At 40.5% G+C, this 23903-nt stretch overlaps 1 long non-coding RNA gene across 1 annotated transcript in view, besides 2 other annotated features; it reads right to left on the reverse strand.

Moving 5' to 3' along the window:
- The window catches only part of LOC124903323 (uncharacterized), a 63861-nt gene that overhangs the window by 34489 nt on the left and 5469 nt on the right, over window positions 1-23903 (reverse strand). The window lies entirely within an intron of this gene.
- Window positions 2537-2724: a silencer, noted in NCBI's record as "fragment chr14:57457567-57457754 (GRCh37/hg19 assembly coordinates)". NCBI's record gives its function as "represses an EF-1alpha promoter that drives an FKBP-Casp9 reporter gene in an ReSE screen in HepG2 liver carcinoma cells {active_cell/tissue: HepG2}" and the evidence as "EXISTENCE:reporter gene assay evidence [ECO:0000049][PMID:32094911]".
- Window positions 19114-23060: an enhancer, noted in NCBI's record as "VISTA enhancer hs1791". NCBI's record gives its function as "enhancer in: midbrain (mesencephalon)[15/15]" and the evidence as "EXISTENCE:transgenic organism evidence [ECO:0001131][PMID:17130149]".

Consider the following 23903-nt stretch of genomic DNA (forward strand, 5'->3'; position numbering starts at 1 on the left):
TATCTCCCAATGCTATCCCTCTCCCCTCCCCCCACCCCACAACAGTCCCCAGAGTGTGATATTCCCCTTCCTGTGTTCATGTGATCTCATTGTTCAATTCCCACCTATGAGTGAGAATATGCGGTGTTTGGTTTTTTGTCCTTGCGATAGTTTACTGAGAATGATGATTTCCAATTTCATCCATGTCCCTACAAAGGACATGAACTCACCATTTTTTATGGCTGCATAGTATTCCATGGTGTATATGTGCCACATTTTCTTAATCCAGTCTATCATTGTTGGACATTTGGGTTGGTTCCAAGTCCTTGCTATTGTGAATAATGCCGCAATAAACATACGTGTGCATGTGTCTTTATAGCAGCATGATTTATAGTCCTTTGGGTACATACCCAATAATGGGATGGCTGGGTCAAATGGTATTTCCAGTTCTAGATCCCTGAGGAATCGCCACACTGACTTCCACAATGGCTGAACTAGTTTACAGTCCCACCAACAGTGTAAAAATGTTCCTATTTCTCCACATCCTCTCCAGCACCTGTTGTTTCCTGACTTTTTAATGATTGCCATTCTAACTGGTGTGAGATGGTATCTCATTGTGGTTTTGACATACTTGGAAGTAAAGCTCTCCTCAGCAAATGTAAAAGAACAGAAATTATAACAAACTATCTCTCAGACCACAGGGCAATCAAACTAGAACTCAGGATTAAGAATCTCACTCAAAACCGCTCAACTACATGGAAACTGAACAACCTGCTCCTGAATGACTACTGGGTACATAACGAAATGAAGGCAGAAATAAAGATGTTCTTTGAAACCAACGAGAACAAAGACACAACATACCAGAATCTCTGGGACGCATTCAAAGCAGTGTGTAGAGGGAAATTTATAGCACTAAATGCCCACAAGAGAAAGCAGGAAAGATCCAAAATTGACACCCTAACATCACAATTAAAAGAACTAGAAAAGCAAGAGCAAACACATTCAAAAGCTAGCAGAAGGCAAGAAATAACTAAAATCAGAGCAGAACTGAAGGAAATAGAGACACAAAAAACCCTTCAAAAAATTAATGAATCCAGGAGCTGGTTTTTTGAAAGGATCAACAAAATTGATAGACCGCTAACAAGAGTAATAAAGAAAAAAAGAGAGAGGAATCAAATAGACGCATTTTCAAGCCTTCTTGATTATCCTGCCTCTTGAATGCGCACTTCTGTCAGTGTTTCATCTTTAAGAACTATTTACAGCCTTGGAAATAGCCTGGGGCAAACCGCAATTTATATAAGGACAGGCACAGAATGTGGTTTTCAATTACTCTACTATTTGGGTAACTCTTGAGCTGGGGTGATGCGAATTTGAGTGGATTTTAAATGGTAATGGTGACAGAATCATGGCCAATATTTATTTGTAAGGTTTCTTAATCAGTTATCATATTTCATTTGTATATATCCCTTAGATTTTGGAGAAATAAATTCCCAAACTCAATATCTTAGGTTTAGAATATTGACCACAATGAACTGGGTGCCGTGGCTCACACCTGTAATCCTGGCACTTTGGGAGGCCGAGGCCTTGGGATGAGTGCCTGAGCACAGGAGCTTGAGACCAGCTCGAGTAACATGGCGAAGCCGCCACCTCCGCAAAAAACAAAATATAAAAATTAGCCAGGTATGGTGGTTTACACCTGTAGTCCCAGCTGCTCAGGGGGCTGAGGTGGGAGGATCACTTGAACCTGGGAGGTTGAGCCTGCAGTGATCTGTGATGGCGCCACTGCACTCCAGCCTTGGTGACAAAGTGAGACCCAGTTAAAAAAGAAAAAAAGAAGCATAATACAAGTCTCCTTCACTGAAATCCATAGGGATAGTTTTCAGCATGAATAACAGTAACACTAATAACACAAGCTAATATTGATTGTGTACTTACTATGTGCCTAGTGCTGTGCTAAGATCTTGGCATATATTATCTCGCATAATTCTCATAACAACCTCCATGTTAGTAACGAGGAAATTAAGGGTTACAGAAGTACAGCAGGCAGCAAAAGCATGAGCCAGCAACTCCCTGTCATCTGCCCAATGGTGGCAATGAGGTGGGCGGCTTGGAAGACTTGAATTTACCATGACCTCTATCAGAACTGCCTCCTCCAAGCCACCCAAATAGACGTTTTATCCAAGTGAGGACAGTTGCTAAGTAAATACATATGGCAATCCAGAAGACCATCCCAGGTAGAAATTCCAGAGCTGTCACTCTATCTACACATGACCGTCACTGCCAAATTCCTATTTACAGAATGCTCATGATGTCTGGAACACTAGATTAGACAATGTACGGGATAAAAGGGAAGCAGGAGACCTGGAAGGAGCCCAAGGCAATATGGCTGCATGGAATAGCGGAACAAGATCAGTCCTGGGTGCCCGGCAGGACTGCCTTCTACTTTGGAGTCTTAGAAATTATTTCCTTAGTCCTAGACAAGTTACCTAGTTTCCCTGAGCCTGGGTTTATTAGATGTAAAATGAGAGGTTCAACTTAACAACATTTTAAGTCCCTTGTAGCTATAAAATGTGATGATTCCAGAGGTCCTGTTGAGAGGTGACAGCATGCTGGCAGTCCTCACGGCCCTCGTTCGCCCTCAGCGCCTCCTCTGCCTGGGCTCCCACTTTGGCGACGCTTGAGGAGCCCTTCAGCCCACCGCTGCACTGTGGGAACCCCTTTCTGGGCTGGCCAAGGCCGGAGCCGGCTCCCTCAGCTTGCGGGGAGGTGTGGAGGGAGAGGCGCGGGCGGGAACCGGGGCCAGCACGAGTTCCGGGTGGGTGTGGGCTTGGCGGGCCCGGCACTCGGAGCAATGAGGGGCTTAGCACCCGGGCCAGCGGCTGCAGAGGGTGTGCTGGGTCCCCCAGCAGTGCCGGCCCACGGGCGCTGCGCTCGATTTCTCGCCAGGCCTTAGCTGCCTCCCCGCGGGGCAGGGCTCGGGACCTGCAGCGCGCCATGCCTGAGCCTCCCCCCACCGTGGGCTCCTGTGCCGCCCGAGCCTCCCTGATGAGCGCTGCCCCCTGCTCCACGGCGCCCAGTCCTATCGACCACCCAAGGGCTGGGGAGTGTAGGCGCACGACGCGGGACTGGCACGCAGCTCCACCCGCAGCCCTGGTGCAGGATCCACTAAGTGAAGCCAGCTGGGCTCCTGAGTCTGGTGGGGACGTGGAGAACCTTTATGTCTAGCTCAGGGATTGTAAATACACCAATCGGCACTCTGTATCTAGCTCAAGGTTTGTAAACACACCAATCAGCACCCTGTGTCTAGCTCAGGGTTTGTGAATGCACCAATCGACACTCTGTATCTAGCTACTCTGGTGGGGCCTTGGAGAACCTTTGTGTGGACACTCTGTATCTAGCTAATCTGGTGGGGACCTGGAGAACCTTTGTGTCTAGCTCAGGGATTGTAAACACACCAATCAGCGCCCTGTCAAAACAGACAACTCGGCTCTACCAATCAGCAGGATGTGGGTGGGGCCAGATAAGAGAATAAAAGCAGGCTGCCGGCGCCAGCAGCGGCAACCTGCTCGGGTCCCCTTCCACACTGTGGTAGCTTTGTTCTTTTGCTCTTTGCAATAAATCTTGCTCTGCTCACTTTTTGGGTCGACACTGCTTTTATGAGCCATAACACTCACCGCAAAGGTCTTGCAGCTTCACTCCTGAAACCAGCAAGACCACGACCCCACCGGGAAAAATGAACAACTCCAGACGCCCCGCCTTAAGAGCTGTAACACTCACCGCAAAGGTCTGCAGCTTCACTCCTGAGCCAGCGAGACCACGAACCCACCAGAAGGAAAAAACTCCGAACACATCCGAACATCAGAAGGAACAAACTCCAGATGCGCCACCTTAAGAGCTGTAACACTCACCGTGAGGGTCCGCGGCTTCATTCTTGAAGTCAGTGAGACCAAGAACCCACTAATTCTGGACACACTGTCTTCCAAGAATGTACAATCCAGTGGGGTGATGAGAAGTTCAATATTTCAATATTCAGAAATGTTTCTAAACTTTATATTAGAATTGCTTTGGTGTTTCTTTTTTCTTAGGGCTGTGGGTGTCTTCTTTATCTCCTCCAAGGCTCAGTGTACGGTAGGCATGTTTGTGAGACAGCCAAGTAAAAACGCGTCCCGGGAAAACCTCTGACCAGCCTGCGCACTGGGAGGAGTCTGCAATTGGGTGGAGCCTCCGGAAGCTCGCGCTGTTTGCAGGGCGGAGGAGCTTGGTCCCTCCTCTTCCTGCGTGGTATTTGAGATTCGATTTGCGAGGCGGGAAACGTGTACTAGCAGGACTGTCGGTCTGCGGAGAGTTCCCGTTTCCTTTTTTTTCCTTTTTGCCCAATAAGTTCCATTTTTCTCACCCTTCAAAGTGTGCGAACCTAATCTCTCATCGTCATGTGACAAGGACACTGTTTTTAGCTGAACTAAGGAAAATTCCTACAACATTAGGGGCCTTATAAATGTTTGTTGAACAAATGAATAAGTAACATAATGAGTGAGTATATGAATAAACACATAAATTTAATTTCCCAAAGCAACAATATATACAAAAGTGAGCTGTCACTCTTATCTACCATGACCGTCCCTTCCTCTAATGCTAAAGTTCAGGTCTCATTTTCTATCATTTATTCCCAGCAGCAGATCCAGGTTTCTGTGGAGACTAAAGTTTATAGAATATAAGGGCCCTTCTTTAAGGAGGATTAAAGATTGCAAATGGAAAATTCAGTACAGCTCCTTTGCAGGGGTCTGTGCGAGTGAGGGGCACCGAAGTCTGTGCTTTTGGCTTCACAGTCAGCTCGGCCAGCAGGGCCCTTCTACACTCCGCTCCAGGGACACCTGCCTTCTTGCTTCCTCAAAAGCTTGCTCCTACCTTAGGGTCTTAGCAAGTGCTCCTCCCCCTCCTAGTCTTTCTCTACCAAGATCCTTGACTTTTTTTAAAAATTGTGGTTAAAATATGCATAACATAATATTGATCATTTTAACCATCCATGAGTGTAGATTTTGGTGGCATTAACTAATTCACAATGTTGTGTAACCATCACTGCTATTAATATCAATACCCCCCATTTAAAAAATCATTTCCAGTTTAAACTCTCTACCCATTAAACAAAAACTGCCCTTTTTTCTCTCTTCCCCACAAACCGTGGCAACCATTATTGTATTTTTGCTTCTATGAGTTTGACTATTACATATACCTCATATAGTGGAACCATACAATATTTGTCCTTCTGTTTCTGTACTAAATATAATGTTTTCAAGGCTCATTGTGGTGCAGCACCGTGTAAGAATTCTATTTTTCTTGATGGCTAAATAATATTCCATTGTTTATGTTTGCAACATTTTGTTTACCCATTTATCTGTTGATGAATACTTGGGCTGTTTCCACTTTTTGGATATTGTTAAGACTGCTGTGAACATGGTTATACGAGTATCTCTTCAAGTTTCTACTTTCCATTCTCTTGGGTATGTATCTAGGTGTTGAATTGCTAGGTAATATGCTAGGTTTATGTTTAACTTTATGAGGAACCTCAACTGCATGGTTTTGCATTCCCACCAGCAATGCCTATGGGTTCTAATTTCTCCGAATCCTTGCCAACACTTGTTGTTTTCCTGTTTAAAAAAATTGTAGCCATCCCAATAGATTGGAAGCAGTATCTCTTTGTGGTTTTACCTATTTTTTCATAGTCTTTAACATTATATGAAATGGTCTTGTTATTTTCCTTTACTGGGTTTATTAGTCTGGAAGTTCATGAAGGCAGAACCATTTCTTTTACGTTCGTTTCTACATTTCCAGCATTCAGAACTGTTCCTGTCACACCTAGGAATTATGTTAAATAAATGAATGCATGGATGTTCTTCTTGCAGAACTATATGACTATCATTGCTAATTTATTTGTCCAAAAATCAGTGCTTAAACAACAGCACATCAATTAGATAACAAGTCCACAGTTTGTCTTAGGCATCAGAGCTGTGCCCCTCCCACTCCCAGTCATTCTCCACCAAGGTCCTTAACTTTTTAAAAAAAGTTGCAGTAAAATAGACATGACATAATATTGATCATTTTAACCATTCATGGGGGTAGAATTTGGTGACATTAAATAATTCACAATGTGCATTTGTGTGTAGCCTTGAACCAATAAACACCATTATCTTAGGACTTCTGAAAGTGAAGACTAAACACAATTTAAATGAAATGATGTCATAAAAGTTATGCATAAACCGCAGATTAAATTTAGGTATTAGAATTGGAATTCAAAGTGAATTAAAAATTTTCATAAAGCTTGCATGGAGAATTGTACACCCCTTTCTAGATGCCCAGTACTAAGGTTGCATTGTACTATGTGTAAATAGGAATGAAAATATTGCACTGGGGGAGCTGGGTGTGATGTCTCACGCCTGTAGTCCCAGCACTTCGGGAGGCAGAGGTGGGAGGATCACCTGAGATCGGGAGTTTGAGACCAGCGTGGGCAACATAGAAAGATCCCGTCCTCCACAAAAAATTTAAAAATTAGCCGGAAATTGTGGTGCATGCCTGTAGTCCCACCTACTCAGGAGGCAGAGACAGGATGATCACTTAAGCCCAGGAGATCAAGGCTGCAGTGAGCTATAATTGTGCCAGTGCACTCCAGCCTGGGTGACAAAGCAAAATACTGTCTCAAAAAGAAAAGAAAAATATTGCATTGGGGTCTGGAAGGAGCTGTGTCACAGAAACCTAACTCCTAAACAAACTGAAGTCTGAAAATTAGTGAGTCATTCACAACAGTATGTAATTTTAACACATGGCTTCTGTGCACTTTACAAACACAGAATTTCACAATGGAAAGTTTTCAACAATGCCATTCCCGATTGCCAAGAGCCAGAGTCACTGGGTGAAGGGATCCTGGAAATGGCCTAAGGAGCTGTAGCAAACAAACAGGGCCTATGTGCAGTGTTGCACCACAATATATTGCAAAGTACACTACAGGGTATCATACATGTCCACCTGAGCACCACCCAGTCTCACATGATCCGTTTGCTAATGTTTCAGACACAAATCAAACCATGCCTATTGTGTAGTCTGCAATTGCCCCTGGCCACTCTCTGAGTTACCAAGCCAAGTTGCAAAATGATAATATTTTGAAATCATGAAGTTTGTGTCTCTGAAGAGCAAGGAACCAGGGCTCCTGAGCATGTAAGGAGGACAGCAGATGCCCCTGAGGACAGCTGTCCTGGCCAGAAGCAGATTCGCCCTGAAGCTAATAAAGGTGAAGCTTTGGGGCCTGTAACTTACACAGGTGCCTTCCAAGGTTGGTGGGGACAGCAATTTTTCCTAAAGAGGCTCTCAAATTTTTTCACATCCACTAAAACCTGGATCCACCCACCTCTTCTTTCTCTAGCCATTCTCAGAAAATTTTGAAAATGCGTTTATTGGCCATTTTCTACAGGGAAACATTGACAAATACCGGTGAGATTTCTGGCATCCCCTACAGGGCCTAGCACAGAGCCATCCACATGGTAGGGCTCAATAACCATTTGATACATAACATTAAATGCATAAAATAAAGTACACAGTTCCTTGTAGTGTGTGTGTGTGCGCGTGTGTGTGTGTGTGTTTTTGATACTCATCTTGAACATTTGCCTTTAGATGTTCAGGGTTTACTTATTTTAAATGAAAAACCCAATGACATTTGTACTCAGAACACCTGTCTAGGAGTAACTGAAAGTTTATCTCTGAGGACCAATGACAAGAGACTTGGAGAAAATTGTGCTTTTGTTGGATGACTATAGAAAATGACTAAGTAATTTCCCATTTGCTTTTTTTTTTTTTTTTTTTTTTGAGACAGAGTCTCTGTCACCCAGGCTGGAGTACAGTGGTGGGATCTCAGCTCACTGCAACCGCCACCTTCTGGGTTCAAGTGATTCTCGTGCCTCAGCCTCCTGAGTAGCTGGGACTACAGGTGTGCACCACCACACTTGGAAAAATTTTGCATTTTTAGTAGAGACGATGTTTTGCCATGTTGCCCAGGCTGGTCTCGAACTCCTGGCCTCAAGTGATCTGCCCACTTCGGCCTCCCGAAGTGCTGGAATTACAGGCATGAGCCACCATACTCAGCCCCTATTTGCTTTTATTATTTGGTATATACACCATTGAATTTTGTTTTACTCATTGGCAATCAAAAAAAAAAAAAAGAATCTGTGACTTTTAGGTTGAGATATTATTTATTTCTACCCAAATACTCCTCCAATTAAAATAGCTTTGTGCAAACTATTCTGAATGTACTGCAAATCTCGTTGCACAGTTACAGTTAACTGGGGTCAGAACTGAAACATTTAAAAATGGCAGCACCTCCCCCACCCACAAATGCCTCCTTTGGCCCTCCCAGACTTTGAAATTTGATCTAAGAAGAAACATGTTTGCTGTGAGAAGTTCTACCTAGTTCACTTCCAGTTAAATAGTCAATATTATAATACTCAGGTGAGGCCTTGGAGTGATGTGTGGAAAATTCTCAAAATTATCCATTTCAGACAGATGCTTTGTAAACTTCCTCATCACACAGGACCAGTGGCCACGTCCATAGATCCCTATGGTTTGTGCCCCGCATACCCGTTTGTGTTCCCTGTGAGTCACTCCCTTTTTAAGGGCTTAACAATAAAACCTGACTGTCCAGTTTTAGACTCCGTCATCGTCTATTAGATAGGAGCTTGGTGGGCATTTCATATTTCTTTCCTTTCAGCCCCGAAAGTAGCATTAGCAGGGAAATTCAAAAGCAAGCAGAAAACTGGCATAGCTAATTTAGGCTAATTAGGATGGCAGAAGCCGAGATGCGTACTTCAGAGCTTCTCATGCCCTCCCGTGTCTCCACCTGATTGCTTTGTCCAGCAGCAAACCCAGGAGGCACTTCCAATTACATCACATCCTCTTCAAACACCAAACCACTCAAGCTAATTTTATCCTATTAAACAGACTGAAGGATCCAGAAGAAAGGTTCTCTCCCCCTCCCCAAAAGCTTCAATTACCAGGGTCCCTGATTATCATCGCTTCAATCCTATATGCACTGCTAAATACTTTTTTTGCTTAGCATTGCCTTCTTCATTTAGATGAAAAGCAAATATTATGAGCATGTCTTTACAGTTCTGGTGAAGTGACATTAGGAGTAGAGCTAAAAAGAAGCACGCTGGTTATTAGCATGGTTAATCAAAGTCAAGTTTGAAGTTTCCAAAGACATTAGAATCACAGAAATTTCAGCACCTCTCTGAATATTAGCATTTAGAGAAAGCACTGCAGATTTCTATTTTTCTTCTCTTCTTTTCCCTTTTCTTTCCTTTCCTTTCCTTTTCCTTCCTTCCTTTCCTCTTTGCTTCCTTCCTTTTTTTCCTCCCTTCCTTTCTTCCATCTTTTATAAGAACTGTTGTAAAAATTACCAATAAGTATCCAGCAAAAGGAAATGTGTGATTCATGATAATAAATATGGAACAAGCAACTTGGCCATGGATGCAAATGTAAGGAGAGCTAGTGAGATAGATAACACAGCCATTCATCATTCCATCTACTTCTTCCTAGCAAACAAATGCAAATCGTGTGTTTTTCATGACACATATACCAAAGACCATCACAGAGTACAAACTTTTTATTTCCAAATTCAAACTCAACTTTCCATTCCATTTTGACCCAACAAAGAGGTCTTAATCTGAAAGATTTTAATATTTTTTCTGATTATAAAAATAATCAAACAGTGTTCTAATTCTTTTAATGTAAAGCCCCTTCCAAACTAAGTTTAAGACTTGGAATCAAAATGAAGCATTTAGTTGTTCTTGATTCTTTCTTGGAAAAAGATTTTTAAAAGCCACTTTAAAAAATCCTTGCTTAAGAAGACATGACAAGTAAAGATATATGAATTTACATGAAGAGGGTTACGGCGTCTGAAAGACTTGAAAAACTGTTTTTGAAGTTAAATACATCTACTGTGCAGGCACTGCTCCTCTTCTCAATGACAAGAAATAGGTTTGACAAATCTTAAAAGGTACCAGTGTAACAAAGAAAAGTTTTCCACCTTCAATATCACCTACATGCCTGGAGGATCCTTTTGCAATGACAGGCATAGTGATTTTTCATTTCTTCTGGAAATTTATTGTAACTTTTTTATAAAAAAAAAAAAACCTTCCCAAGACTTGTGATGGACATCAATGCATTTGTCAGTTTTAATTTCAGAAAGTCTCATCTGTATTCTGTGTAGTCAGTCCAAATGACTGAAATTAAATGTTTGCTTTTTTAACAATCTCTTTCCTTTAGCAGAAAATCTACCAGTAACTCTTACACAATTGTCACTATTTCACTGGTATCAAAAAGCCATTGTCTTGGGACAATCATACCCCCCTCCCCACCCAAAAGAAACAGCCACTAAACAACAATCCATCTAAACTCTGTTTGGGCCAATTTTCTTAATGTTTCAGCAAGGCTTAATCTGTTGGCATAAGTGTTTAGTCCCATTAACAGCTAAAGTGACAGAGCCCACAACTCAAGGTGCTGACAGTAAACAAGGAATTTGAGGAATGGCTTTTAAACAATGACTAAGCCTCAAGCCATTTTGTCTTCAGATGCCCTGAAACTTGTCCATGGCTGTAGGAAGAGTTGCCTCCTTTCTACAGTCCTACTTCTACTTAGAATGCACCTCCCTCCCGCTGTCTTGATATTAGCTGATTAGATTTGTCTTGCTAAAATCACTCTCCTCTGATTGGCCACTGAGGACCCACATGGCTGTTAAGATAAGCCACTCATTATTATTTTCTAGAACAAGCTTTGGCAAAAACTGGAAAATAGGTAAGTTTGCACATGCTGGATTTCTCTTGGGATAACATCTCTCAGCCTGCCCTGGGACAGGCTCCTTTGGGCAAAAGCAGGGATTTCCTGACCTCTATTATAGTCTGTTGTGCCTGGAGAGCAGAAAACACAATAAAATGTGTGGGCGTGGATCTCCCCACCAACAGAAAAGGACCCACAAGGGGTGCCAAAGCATAATATTGAGAAGAGGACAATTCTTTTTAAATATCTAACTTCATTTTGGAGACTCTCCAGGATGTTTTAATCAACACGTGTCCTCTCCTGTGATCTCTCCAGCCAGTATTACCATATTTATCACTTATGCTACAAGAGCTAGCCAACAACTTTGCTGCTGCTTCTATGTCTTTTTACTACTCCCCAGCCCCTTGCTGTCTTCCATCACCCCACTGCCTACTCATGACCTACAAACAACAACAAAAGAGAATATTTGCCTCAGGATCTTCATAGGATTCCAAGACCAGGGAGATTCCCCTAATGGTCTTGAACTCCCAACCTCAGGTGATCCACCTGCCTCAGCCTCTTAAAGTTCTGGGATTACAGATGTGAGCCACCAAGCCCGGCCAAAGTTCCATATTTCTGTAACCTTTCAACAATGTTTAACAGATGCTTGCTGTATGTCAGATATTGTATATTGTGCATACTGTGTGCTGGGAGTATGGGCATGGCAAGAAGCATTTACCTATCTATAATGTGGGGGGGGAAACAGACCAGAAAATTGATCATTACTATCCAGTGTGTCAAGGGGCTTTGGGAGCCCAGAGGAGGAAACCAGAGGAGAGGCAACTAAGTCTTCTGGGGGCGGGGAGTGCTGGGGCTTAGGGATAAAGGATGCCCAAAGGAGGGAGTGCTTTAGATGGGTGTTGAGAACAAATGGCCACCACTAAGCAAATGGGGGTAGGGAGTTGCAGGGATGCCAGGGTGTAATGAGAAGAGGGGCATCCCAGGGTAACAACAACAACAACAAAAAACAGCTGCAAAAGCCCAGAGGTATGGCATATGTGGAAACTGAAAGCATCTTGGAATAGCTAGTGGTTAAGGGGAGGCAAGAGTAAACAGAGTCCAAGCTCTCAACTTACCGGAGCCTATAAATGAACTGTGACTATAACTTATTTTCATATTTCATCCATTTCAAATTCTGGAAAAGATGTAGCATTCTAAGATTTGTAGTTTTACCCAGATAACACTATTGCAGTATCTGAAAATCTTGTGGATGTCAACATGAGCCTTATGGCAGTAGTCACAAGTTATCTTCATAGAGTTCTTTTTATTCCCTGCAGCGTTCAACTCTAAGATTAGGCTGCTTCTTCACAGAAGCCACCCCTAAAACACTGGTGCTGTCTAGGGTTTTGTCTCAAGTGTTCTTACTTTGTCTGTTCTCTCTGGGCAACTTTAACCACATCTGTGGCTTCAACAAACACTGTAAACCAGTGACTTCCAAATGATACTTCTAGTCTAGATCTTCTTCAGAGTTTCCAGTCATTATTTCCACTTGTCCACCTAAAATACAACATGTTCAAGACTGGACTCTTCCCTGTGCATATCTGCTTCTCTTCCTCTAGTCCCTGTCATGTGGTGACTCCACTGCTCCTCTAAAGCTGGAGACACCTGGGCTAATCCTAGACTTTGTACTCCCCTTTCCCTGACTTATACATTTAAATCCAAAGTCCTGTCAATTCTGTGTCTGAATAGCTCTTTTATCTTTCTTTCTTCCTCTCCATCTTTATTTGCCAAACCGCTAAAGACATTCAGTTCAACTATTTACTGAAGGGTTCCAATTTGCTGTTTATTAAGTAGCTAAGACATGGCCCATTGAGGAACCAGGCTAGGTGATGAATTACCATCATCACTCAACTCCTTGCCTCCATCTTGTCCCCTTTTTATCACATCGCTGCTTCCCAAAAAGTTTCAATGGCTGTCGTTGTCTAAGATCTAGATGTCATAACATAGAAGCAACTTGAAGGTTGGCTTCTGACTTTCTGTTCAATATCATCTCTCCACACCCTCTATACCATAGCCATTCTGGAAGGAGTGCTACGTATGTGTGCATGCATGTATGTATGTGTGTATGTATGTATATATGTGCATATTTAGTGAGCATATTATGTTCTGGTATACCTCCATGGTATGTTATTGCCTATGTCAGGAACATCCTAGTAGACTCAGAAAACTTTTCTCCCACCTTCAAGTCTTAGCATTTATGTTACCCTCTGTTCTTTACTGCCCTCCACCCCCACAATCCCCGGACCCTACCCACAGGCACCTTCTTCCAAGATCCTTTTACACCTTGTGAAAAACCTCCTTTGAACAATTTCTATATTATGTTGTAAATGATTTCTTACAGGTCACGGCTATTCCCTCGCTGAATGTTAGCACCATATCCATGTGGGTCTCTTCGTCTCTGTACAGAGACTGGACCAGAGTGGCTGCCCAATGCATTGTTCAAGCTCTTCTGCAATAAGATCCTATTGTGTGCCTCAGGGCTGAAGAAGGCACCTTGGTTCCTAGGACTTGTGAACGGTCCAAGTGATCCAGCCCCCTGGCTGTTCTTTATTTGTAGGAATAGTGGGTCCTAAGCCCCATGGGGTCCCTGGGCACACATACCTCATGCCCCTTCCAAGGACATCAACGAGGGTGGGCTAGTAGAGCACCACCCAGAGGGCAGTGCCTGCCATTGAGTCCTCCCTGGGGCAGTCAGTCTTCCAAAAGACATGGTCCATTTCTCCAGAGTTCTTTAGCATATGTCCTCCTGCTCTTCCTACTCTCTAGGGAAACACGACCACTCTTGTCTCTCAGAATTTCTCATCTCTGCAGCCTTGCTCATAGCTCTTCACCGGGACTGCCTGGCTTTTGACTCTACTTCTGAACTCATGTCCAGTCATTCTTCAAGACTAATTTTAAATCATTTTGTTCATGAAGTTTTCTCTGCCCTCCAAATTGGAATGGGTCCCTCTTCCTAAACATTTGTTGTTCCTACTTAATGGCACTAATTATATCTGCTTGTTGTTATTTGTGCCCTTCCTACCAGCTGGTCAAACTAACTCATAGTTATTTTTAGACCTCAGAATCCAGTGCAGCATCTTGCACAAAATAGATGCTCAATCAATTCAGGTCTTAGCTTAGATTCTTACTTCTGGGAAGTCTTCCTTGACTTCCTTAGTCTGGGTTATGTATCCTTTGTTTACCTTTAGTATCTTGTATTGCTCATGGGTCTGTCAGCTTTGTGGTGACAGGGATTGTATCTTTCTTGTCCACAGTGGTATTCCCAGTATCTCACATAGAACTGACCTCAACAAATACTTGTTGAACAAACGAGTAAACAAATTAGCGAACAGGGATGATTGAATGAGTAGAACTCAATTATCATGGGGCCCGCAGAGCAGCAGCTTTTTGAAATATCTGATTGAGTGACTCTGTGCCTTGATTTCACTCTTCTGAGGGACGTTGGAAAATGGAGATACTACCTTCAAAGCAAAGGAAAGTCCAGTAATTGTCCGGGGATATCAAGGAGTCCTGGCTAACTGAGAGATGAAGCTGGATGTAAGGTTTTGGAAGGAGTTGGTGGGAACAGTGGAGATGAAGCCTTGGTGGGGCAGCATCAGGTCCCTTCACTGATTGGTAAAGGGTGACCCCTCCTTTCCCGATACATATGCTCATTCCTCAACCTCTTACAATTTAGGCAAAGGGTGGTGTGCTGCAATGGGCCGAGGGAGGCTCTGATGCTGTCGTCCTGGCATAGATCTCCCTGTCCTCAGAGCATGTCCTACTCTCCATAGATTCAACCACAGCTGCCCCTTGGCTGAGGAGCTTTGGGAAGGGTGGATGGTTTGCCTGGGGTAGAACGGAGGGAGAAAAGTAACATATCTTTAGTTGGAAGGGGAGTCTTTTTAGTATGAGGAAGTATTATTTTTTCTTTTTGATTTTAAAGGTTATTTAAATTTTGTAGTCAGTCTACCCTGTTCATGGTTCTTCAGAGTAAGAGTCTTTTTCCTAGCTTAGCTGCAAGCCTCCAAACTGCGCATGCACAATTTTCACCCCAAATGGGAAAAAGTAGACCATATTCACAACCGACAATAAAAATGTATCACAAAACCTCCCCAAGAGCTGTATTATTCAAGTTACCATCATTCAGTTGGATATTATGAAGGCAAAAAAATTAGAGATTGTGAACATCGCTGCTCTCGTTTTCTCTTGTGCTCATAAATGAATGTTTTTCAGCCTTCCCCATCCATCTTCATTAACATTGTAAGCAATTTGTATTGGTCCTGCAATGCAGCATCTTTACATTGTGCAAATGTATGTGATGTTCTGGAAATGGGCAATTTAATATGAAAAGCACACCATGTCTCAGATTTTTTTTTATTTTCTAAACAGTAATTTCTGCTAGGAATTATTCCATGATTTGTGCATAATTTCATGCAGATGGTTATTTAAATATAAATAGAGAAATCTGTCATTTAATATTGTGCCTGCCTCTCCTTGGGTTGGCATGCCCACATTTTAAACTCGTGCCATAAATAAAAGATAAAAACATCTCTAAGCCCCACAGTAGTCAGAAGATAATTGGGCCTGCTCATTAATTGTCATTTGAGTGACCTCCAATTAACTCTCTTAATATTTTCCAGTTTCTTTAAAAAGAAACTTAAATGGGGTCTTTTTTTTTGTGAAATGTGTTTACAATGTAATGAAAACCCTCTTTGTTTACCTAATGAAGACTACATTCTCCCAGTAGTAAAAACAAAACTCCTTTTCTTTGGGGACCAACTCACTTTCCTCCTTGGTAAATGCTAACTTTTGACACTAAACTAACATGGGAGTGGTTGGGATATGAAGCCACAGATACAGGCCTGAGCCGACCATTTTATAATTCAGGTATATCTTTTGCCAAAAATGCCATATCATTGTTTACCTTGACAGGTCTTGTAATAATTGAAATAGACAACATGAGGAAAAAATGTATATTGAATTAACCTTCTATATTTGAACAAGATTTAAGTTAGTGGCAGCAGGTTAAGAGTTCAAAGTTTTGTGAATTCAAGTCCAAAACATTGCTTAAATAAATATCTTACAACACTTATTAACCAAAAAAATATGGCTTTGAAAAATGGTGATGAGAATTTATAAAATGGAAAAAGAAAACGTATCACTCCTCTTCAAAGCTCTGCTCTCTGCTTTGTCACATTGTAGACCATTTCCTCATCTATTCAAGTCAAAAGGCAATACAGGTTTTTCCAGAGCAAATTCATTTCTATGAGTGTGAGTGTGAGCCTAACTTAGAACAAAAGTGCTATTTTCCTATGTCTAAAAGATGTCTTGGCAGCAAGAAGTACAAAAGAAAAAAAGGTGAAGTTGTGTGTGTGCGTCTGTGTGTGTTTAAGAGAACTGGGAGTTCTAGTCTCAGTGTGCCATTGACAGTGTAAGTCATTTTACCTCTCTGCATCTCAGTTCCTTCATTTGTAAAATAACAGGGTTAAAGTTATGAATTATTAACTCCTTTCCACCTCTCACATCCTATGCATCTAGAGGCCTGGATTAAATCTCCAAACCGGGAGTGCAGGATCTTATGACAATTGCTATCTGGCTAGTCCTATTGACTCTACATATATCCTCTCTGCCTGCCTAGAGGTATACGTCCCACTATAATAATCCTGCAAGCCTAGATGTAACTTTGTATTCTCAATTCTATTGCACATGTAAAAGGCTAGTGTAGTGTTGTGGTTAAAACAAACTCAAGTCAGATTACCTGGTTTTGAACCCAGCTTCACCACCCACCAGATGCATGACCTTGGGCCAGTTACTTAACCTCCATGAATCTCAGTTTCCTCCTCAATAGGAAGGGTATAACAATAATAACAATCCATATTTCATAGGGTTACTAGGACCAAATGAGATGATCATTGTAAAACCCTTAGAGTGGAACCCCAACCTTGGTTAGAGCTCAATCAAAACTAGCCACTAAAATAAAATAGCCTCTTGTTTTCACATTATAGATTAATCAGTAAAATAGATTAATCAGAATATGTCACACACGACTCATAATGTTATTCTCTTCTAAACATTATTTGTAACATCTGTCTTTGTAGTTATGTCTGAGAGGGACCCATGCTTTTATCACATTGTTAAAAATGGACACATTCTTATTGTCATCATGACAATTTTTACTCCTAAGACTGGAACGTCTCCTCTTTCTTAATAGCTGTGTACATAGTCAGAGTCAAAAAAGCCAGTGGATTTTGTAATATAGAGCAAATGACATTTGGAAAAATAAATAATAATTTATACAGCGCCTATCTGCAAAAAACGGTTTTAAAATCCTACTTGTATACATTAAAAGAAGCTAATATCTTTAAAATGTGAACTATGGCATTATTATATGTTTAAAAAGGCAAGTGTCTTTGTTCATCCCTAACAGGAGTCATGAGGTTTACTAGGCTAGAGTCATATTTACCATGCCCATGTTTTCGGAGAATCTTATTTGTATCTTCAAAGCATATCTAATCATAGAATTCAAAATAATTTAGCTAAGGGTGTTAACGACTGTGTGGCACTGAACTTGATGACAAGTTATATTTTTTATTTTTTATTATTATTATTTTTTTGAGACTGAGTTTCGCTCTTGTTGCCCAGGTTGGAGTGCAATGGTGTGATCTCAGCTCACTGCAACCTCCACCTCCCAGGTTCAAGCGATTCTCCTGTCTCAGCCTCCCCAGTAGCTGGGATTACAGACATGTGCCACCACACCCGGGTAATTTTGTATTTTTAGTAGAAATGGGGTTTTACCATGTTGGTCGGCTGGTCTCGATCTCCTGACCTCAGGTGATCTGTCCATCTTGGCCTCTCAAAGTGCTGGGATTACTGGCATGAGCCACCGCACCTAGCCTGACGCATTATATTAAATAGCTACTGCCATCATGGAGGTTTAACTTTACAAGGGACATTATGAATATATCAAAGAAAGGTCAAGTAGGTTAATCTGAATAGCATAATACTATGTATGCAATGTAAAAAGTGTGTATATGCAATATTCTGTATAAAAAATCGCACTGCTAGTGATACATTGATGAGCTAAAAAAACATGGATTCTGTTGATTAGCAAACTATATTTTGGTTAATCACAAATGACTTTTATTTTAAAGCTCAAACCTGATATTCAGAAAGATATTTTGACTGTCTCTCTGTTTTTGGTCTTCATAAAACTCTAAAATAGGAAGTTTGTCATCACCTCTTCTCTGAGCCTTTCCCTCCACTTCATTACCTTTCTGAATTCTCTGTCCCATGCTGAGTTCTTATTCCTGGCCACACTCCTTTTTTCCCTGTCTACTCCTGACATTGTGCTATTCCAGGTCCAGAATAACGTAAAAATTGCTTTTTAGGAAGCCCTCTATTCTGCAATGCCATTGCTTTCAAGTCCTGGAAAAAAAAAAAAAACTCTTCAGACCTCACTTTTAGTTTACCCAACAGAGGATATTCTATGTCTGGCTGACATTACATTTCTCTGAATTCAACAATTTGGACTCTAGACTTAAGAATCATTCTCTTATTTTCTAGACTATTAAGAGCCATGTTTCTGAGGGCCGGTCCCCCTGAAAGGAAGCCCACATCTCTGATCTGTGAGGGTGTAAGTGTGCTTATGCATGAGAAGAATCTAAGTAGTGTGAACTGAGCAGGTGCAAAACCAAAAAACTTATGTGAATAATAAAGAGCCAATGATTTGGGAACAGCAAATCGCAAGTTTGATTAAAGTGTGTCCTTAGAAAATTAGCAAAAGTGTTAGCGACTGAAGACCATGTTATATCATGAGCAACTATGTATGTAGCTAGCTCCTTGTAGCCACCGATATTTCTGTCCACAAGTAAATGTCAGAGGAAAAATATAGATGTTACAAACTATAAATATTAAAATAACAAAGAGTGACTCTTTTATCTGCTATGATAATTAAAGTAATTAAAGAATGATATCCAAATTCACATTTTTACAGTAATTTTATTTTTATTCTTTCTTTTTTGTCATGTTTCTAATTCTGCACATCAACTCCCGTGGAGACATAACCATTGCAAACTAAAGTGATTTTCTCTAAATGAAGACAACACAATTGAGTCTTCTGTGCTACCTAGGTTCACAGTCTATTTCTAGCCAACAGAAAGACATTTGACCAAAAATTCCAAAAGAGAATCAATAAGTAAATAAAGAGCCAGGATTGGGTTCTCTAATTCCAAGGAAAAGCTCAATGAATCTTTTCCCTAGTATCTTAAGGCTTGTAAAACTTGAAATAGCTGCTTCCTATGGAACCGAGTTTGCATTACTCTTGTTAATAGTTAAAACATGTTTTTTTAAAAAAATTAGTGTCTCAAAGACAAGCTAAGAGTGTCCTTAAGAAATATGATATGAAACTGAACCAGAATTAAGGCTAGGATTCTGTGATTTATTTGGGGGCTGGGGGGACAGTGGCACAGGGTGATGCCATCCACAGAAGAGTGAAAAAAAAATGAAGATAAGTAATAACTACTGTAATAAAGAATCTCTAAGCACACAAACCAACATAGCAATGCCTCCTCTGTTAAACAAAAACATCATCTACCTTGAGAAATTTAAACTGAGATGTATGCAGATAAGCACTTTTACTTTTAGTGAATATTCTGTTAATTCTTAAAAATACACTTTTGCATAAAAGGTTCTTTTTCTCCCTTCACTCTCAATGTGCTTCTCCAAAAGCCTGCATATCTGGAAATGTAAATAGATATCCATCCAGTTAAATATGAATTAATTAGACAAATCTGCTTTTACCTACATGCTGTGTGTAAAACAGCTTAAACGTACAACGAAGAGAAGAGAAGAGAACAGAAGTGAAGAAGAAAAGAGGATTTAAAAGGGAAGCAATCCAAGACTTCCATTTTCTTACTTCAGATAAACATATTTAACACCCACAAATTATACAGGAAGTTTCAGACAGCTTTAAGTGAGCCCCACAGAATTATTTACTAACAGACCCAAAATGTACATTTTACTGCCTTTAACTTCCCGATTATATTTTTAATTACTGTCAAAGTACCTTCTGCAGACTACAATATCATCGTGTGAAAACCACACATTTCCTTTTAGTTCCCCCTGCTCAGAAAAGTTCTACATTCATTTAATCCTGAATCTGATTTCATCGGTCTAAAATTTTGAGTGTGTTCAACTACAGAGTGTTTTCCTTTTAGAAAACCTGAGACAATAACCAGAATTCATAGCAAGTTTTCCCATTCAACCAGACATTTCTTGAGGGAATTGCAAAAGCTCTGCGAAGAAACAGTTAATATGTATATATCTCTCTGAAATTGGCAAATGTCTTTTATTTCCTCTAATATTCTAGCCAGAGATCTGAGCTCATTTTTTCCTGTCCATAGGCTCAAAAAAAAAAAAAAAAAAAAAGGACTGTATTCGCTAATTATACATCCTGAAAAGAATTTGGTTCAGTGTAAGATGATCCTAGTGATATGCTAATCCCTTTTTCTGCTTGGTGCTGCCTGAAGCTTGTGTCTAACATTTTTTTCAACTGTATGACAATAAAAGTTCTGGCAACAAAAGAAATAAATGGGCAGCTAAAGAAGGTATAGCTAAACACATGGCAGGCCGTCTCTCCCTCTCCTTCTGGCTGCTCTTTTGTAGCCTCCAGTTTGGTATCCTCAAGTCAATAGCCGAAATCCAGCCACCTTAGCAACTTAGTATGACACCCAAGCCCTCTCTCTTTACATTCATGAATAGTCAGCACCCAGCAGACAAAATAGAACTAATCTTTTTTGACAGAATTGTTCAATTTTAGAGGAAAAGCTTTTGAGTCTTCCACACATTTGCAGAATATGAGACAACAATGGCTGCAATCAAATTTTAAAAACAACAGTGGCCAACAGGGCTGGAAAAAAGTCTCTTTGAATTAAATAGCACATTCAGTCAGTCCCAGTGGTCATAAACTTGGGGCAAACATTCATTTCAATACGTGAAAGAAAGAGATAAACAAATGAAGAGTATATCCAACGGTCCCATTCTGAGCTTCATGCAGTAATTCCTTCTGCTGTGATACATGCGTATATATTTTTTCTATTTTCTTTCCTTTTCTTTTTTCATAGACTAATACAAATATCTTTCCTCTCGAAAATAATTTTGTTTGGGGGGGTGCCCAACAAGTCTCAGTTTAAAATGCTTTTTATTCAGCAACCTTTTGTAGTCATTTGAAAGCAATTTTACCATATAGAAATCCTCTAATGTATCAGTCACTCGCAAGTCTAACATGTGTTAAAAATGAATCTTCTCTCCATTCCAACCCCCTCTATTTAATACAAGGCATCTCTATACCTTTGGAGACAATATGAACAAGAAGAAAATTCTACCCAGTTCATGGCAAAAACAGAAGTTAGCAACATGGTCCATGCAGCTGCAACATTGCATTTAAAATTCAGTTTCCTCATAGGAAGAGGGCTAATCCTGCCCCCGTAATTCCCTACAGCCAAAATGTGCCCCCTCCCCGCGTGACAGTGCAATGCAAAGACACTAGCATGCTTATCTTGCCTAACCAGATGGCCGACTTGGATCAATGCACACACACCACGATCAATGGGAGAGATAAAGAATTAGGAAAACAGTGGTACATGCTCCCAGAAAGCTTGTACACTGCATAATTATTTTATGATTCTACACATGGCTACATGTGATACTGAAGTAGAGAAGGAAAGGATAATTAGAGTGCCAGGAAGAATTTTGTAGTAGACTACACTTTGTCTGTCAGCACTTCCCACTCTAGCAAACTCACTGCCCTTATCTGAAAGTGAATTTAGAAAAACATGAGCGAAAATGTCAGGGAAGGTATTTCCATTTTTGCCAGGTCCTGTCACGTCCCAAAGTTTAGTTCAAAGCCTGAGGAGGCTTCCTGGGATTTGGATATGCCTCTCATCATTAGCCACCCCTAGCTGCCCAGCCAAGGAAACCCACAGATAATAGTTGAATGTGATGCAGACTGTAACCAGGAAGAATTTGGTCTCCAAGTGATTCAGGCAAGTTCATTCAGTAAAATAGAGCAGGACGAGGCAGTCCCTTAATTTCTGTTTCCTGATTGGCTAACCAAAGCAATGTTTTTCAGCAGGTTGGTTACGCACTTGAGACTAAGAAAAAAATAGGAACCCACATCCCTGTCACTCAGCCAGGTAATAAGGAAAGTATATGAGGCTCTGAAGCTGGCACATTGCTACTTTATCCTGAATTCAGACCAAGATCATAAACCAGAACAATAAACCACTGTAATTCCCCACTATGGTCATGTATTAATCAGAAAAAAAACAAAATGTTCCTTCAGCTCTTAGTACATGGTGGGTACTTATTAAATGATTATATTATTATTGTAAATATGAATAATCCTTTACCCTGTACTATTCCAACGTGTTACTCTCTTTTCACCTTGCATTAGATGCAACTAAAAATAGTGTTAGATTTTCCTTTGGATTTGAGACTCAGCTTGCATGCTAATTAAAACATTCAATGAACTTTTTACACCATTTTTTTTTTTATGTAAAGAGAGACAGGAACTGAAATCTGGAATTAGACACAGCTCTCCACCACTGTCAACCTCAAAAATCCTGTGGGTAAGCTAGTCATTCTAAGTAGCCTATTACATTTGAAATAGAGCAAATATTCAATATCCAAATAATTAAAATCACTATAAATTATTTCCTAAGGATAAATAAAATATAGGTTGGGTAAAAATTCAAAGGGAAAAATATTGACAATTGTGAAAAGCCATAGCCACCCTCTTTGTAAGTTATTTTAGTTGGGATAAATATTATGCTCTAAATTTTCATATGACTCCCTTGTTCTCTGTGGAGTTGTTTTGTTACATTATCCCTGGCCTATAACATTTCTCTCCTCAATGTTGGTACAAAACGGATAGCTATATATAAGTAGCACTTAGCTTTGCTGCCCATTATCAGATTTGGAGAAAGAGCCTGGGTTAGGAATATGATGCATATTACCATATCTATTTTCAGTTCAAAACCCTTTAAAGGCAGGGCCATCATTTTACCTTTTAGGGCTTATTTTTCTTTTCTCTGAGACTAAAAAAGGTAAGTGTAAACATGCAGTATGACAGACTCATTGAGGCTCTTGCTGTAAAAATTGATTCTGCATGTACTATATTTTATACCATGTAGTTGAGCTTGCAAGATGGAGGGAAACTTTTGGATGTTGGGGTAAAGGGGAAGTTCATGAGTTGGAACTGGAACTTGTGAGTAGAAAGAGCATGCCGGGTTTCTCTGAGGGCAGGACCGAGGTGGACTCAACTTTGGGCTGGGTCCTGCCATTAAACCAGAAAACCTGGTAGGAAATGGTGTGCCCTCAGCTCAGTAGTTCTCCTGGATCTCTTTCAAAGCAAATCCAAATTCTGTCAGAAGTAAACCATCATCAGGTTAGACTCCCAGGTTTTCAGGGGATTAAGATTAATGAAATCTAATCTTACAACCAAAGATCACCAATCCCACAGGAAAATAATCCTCTGTAAGCGAGAGTCAGCAAAAAACAATAAATAACAGACTTGGATCTTCTAGGATGAAATTATCAGAATTTGTCAGATACAGAATGCAAAATAAACAGGTATAAAATGTTTTTAAAAATTAAAATAGGAATCACTAAAATGCATTAACAATAAGAAACTATCAAAATGACAGTAGGTTTGAAAATGAACCAAATAGTACTTTTATTTTTTCAAACTGATTGAGAAATAATTTAATACAATACAGTGCACCCATTTTAAGGGTACAGTTCAAAGAGTTTTGACAAATGTATATATCTGTGAAACCATCACCACCAGCAGAATGCAGACTATCCCCATCAACTGAAAATGGTAACTCATGCTTCTTTGCAGTGATTCCTCCCTCCACTCCTGGTCCCAGGCAACCCCTGATTTGGCTTATGTCACTATAACACACCTTGCATTTTCTAGAATATTATATAAATGGAATCATACAATTTGTACATCTTTGGATCTGGTGTCTTTGACTCAGCATATTGATTTTTGAGTTTCACTCATTTTGTTGTGTATATCAGTAGTT

This window comes from Homo sapiens, chromosome 14, assembly GCF_000001405.40.
Source record: "Homo sapiens chromosome 14, GRCh38.p14 Primary Assembly".
NCBI classification, from domain to species: domain Eukaryota; kingdom Metazoa; phylum Chordata; class Mammalia; order Primates; family Hominidae; genus Homo; species Homo sapiens.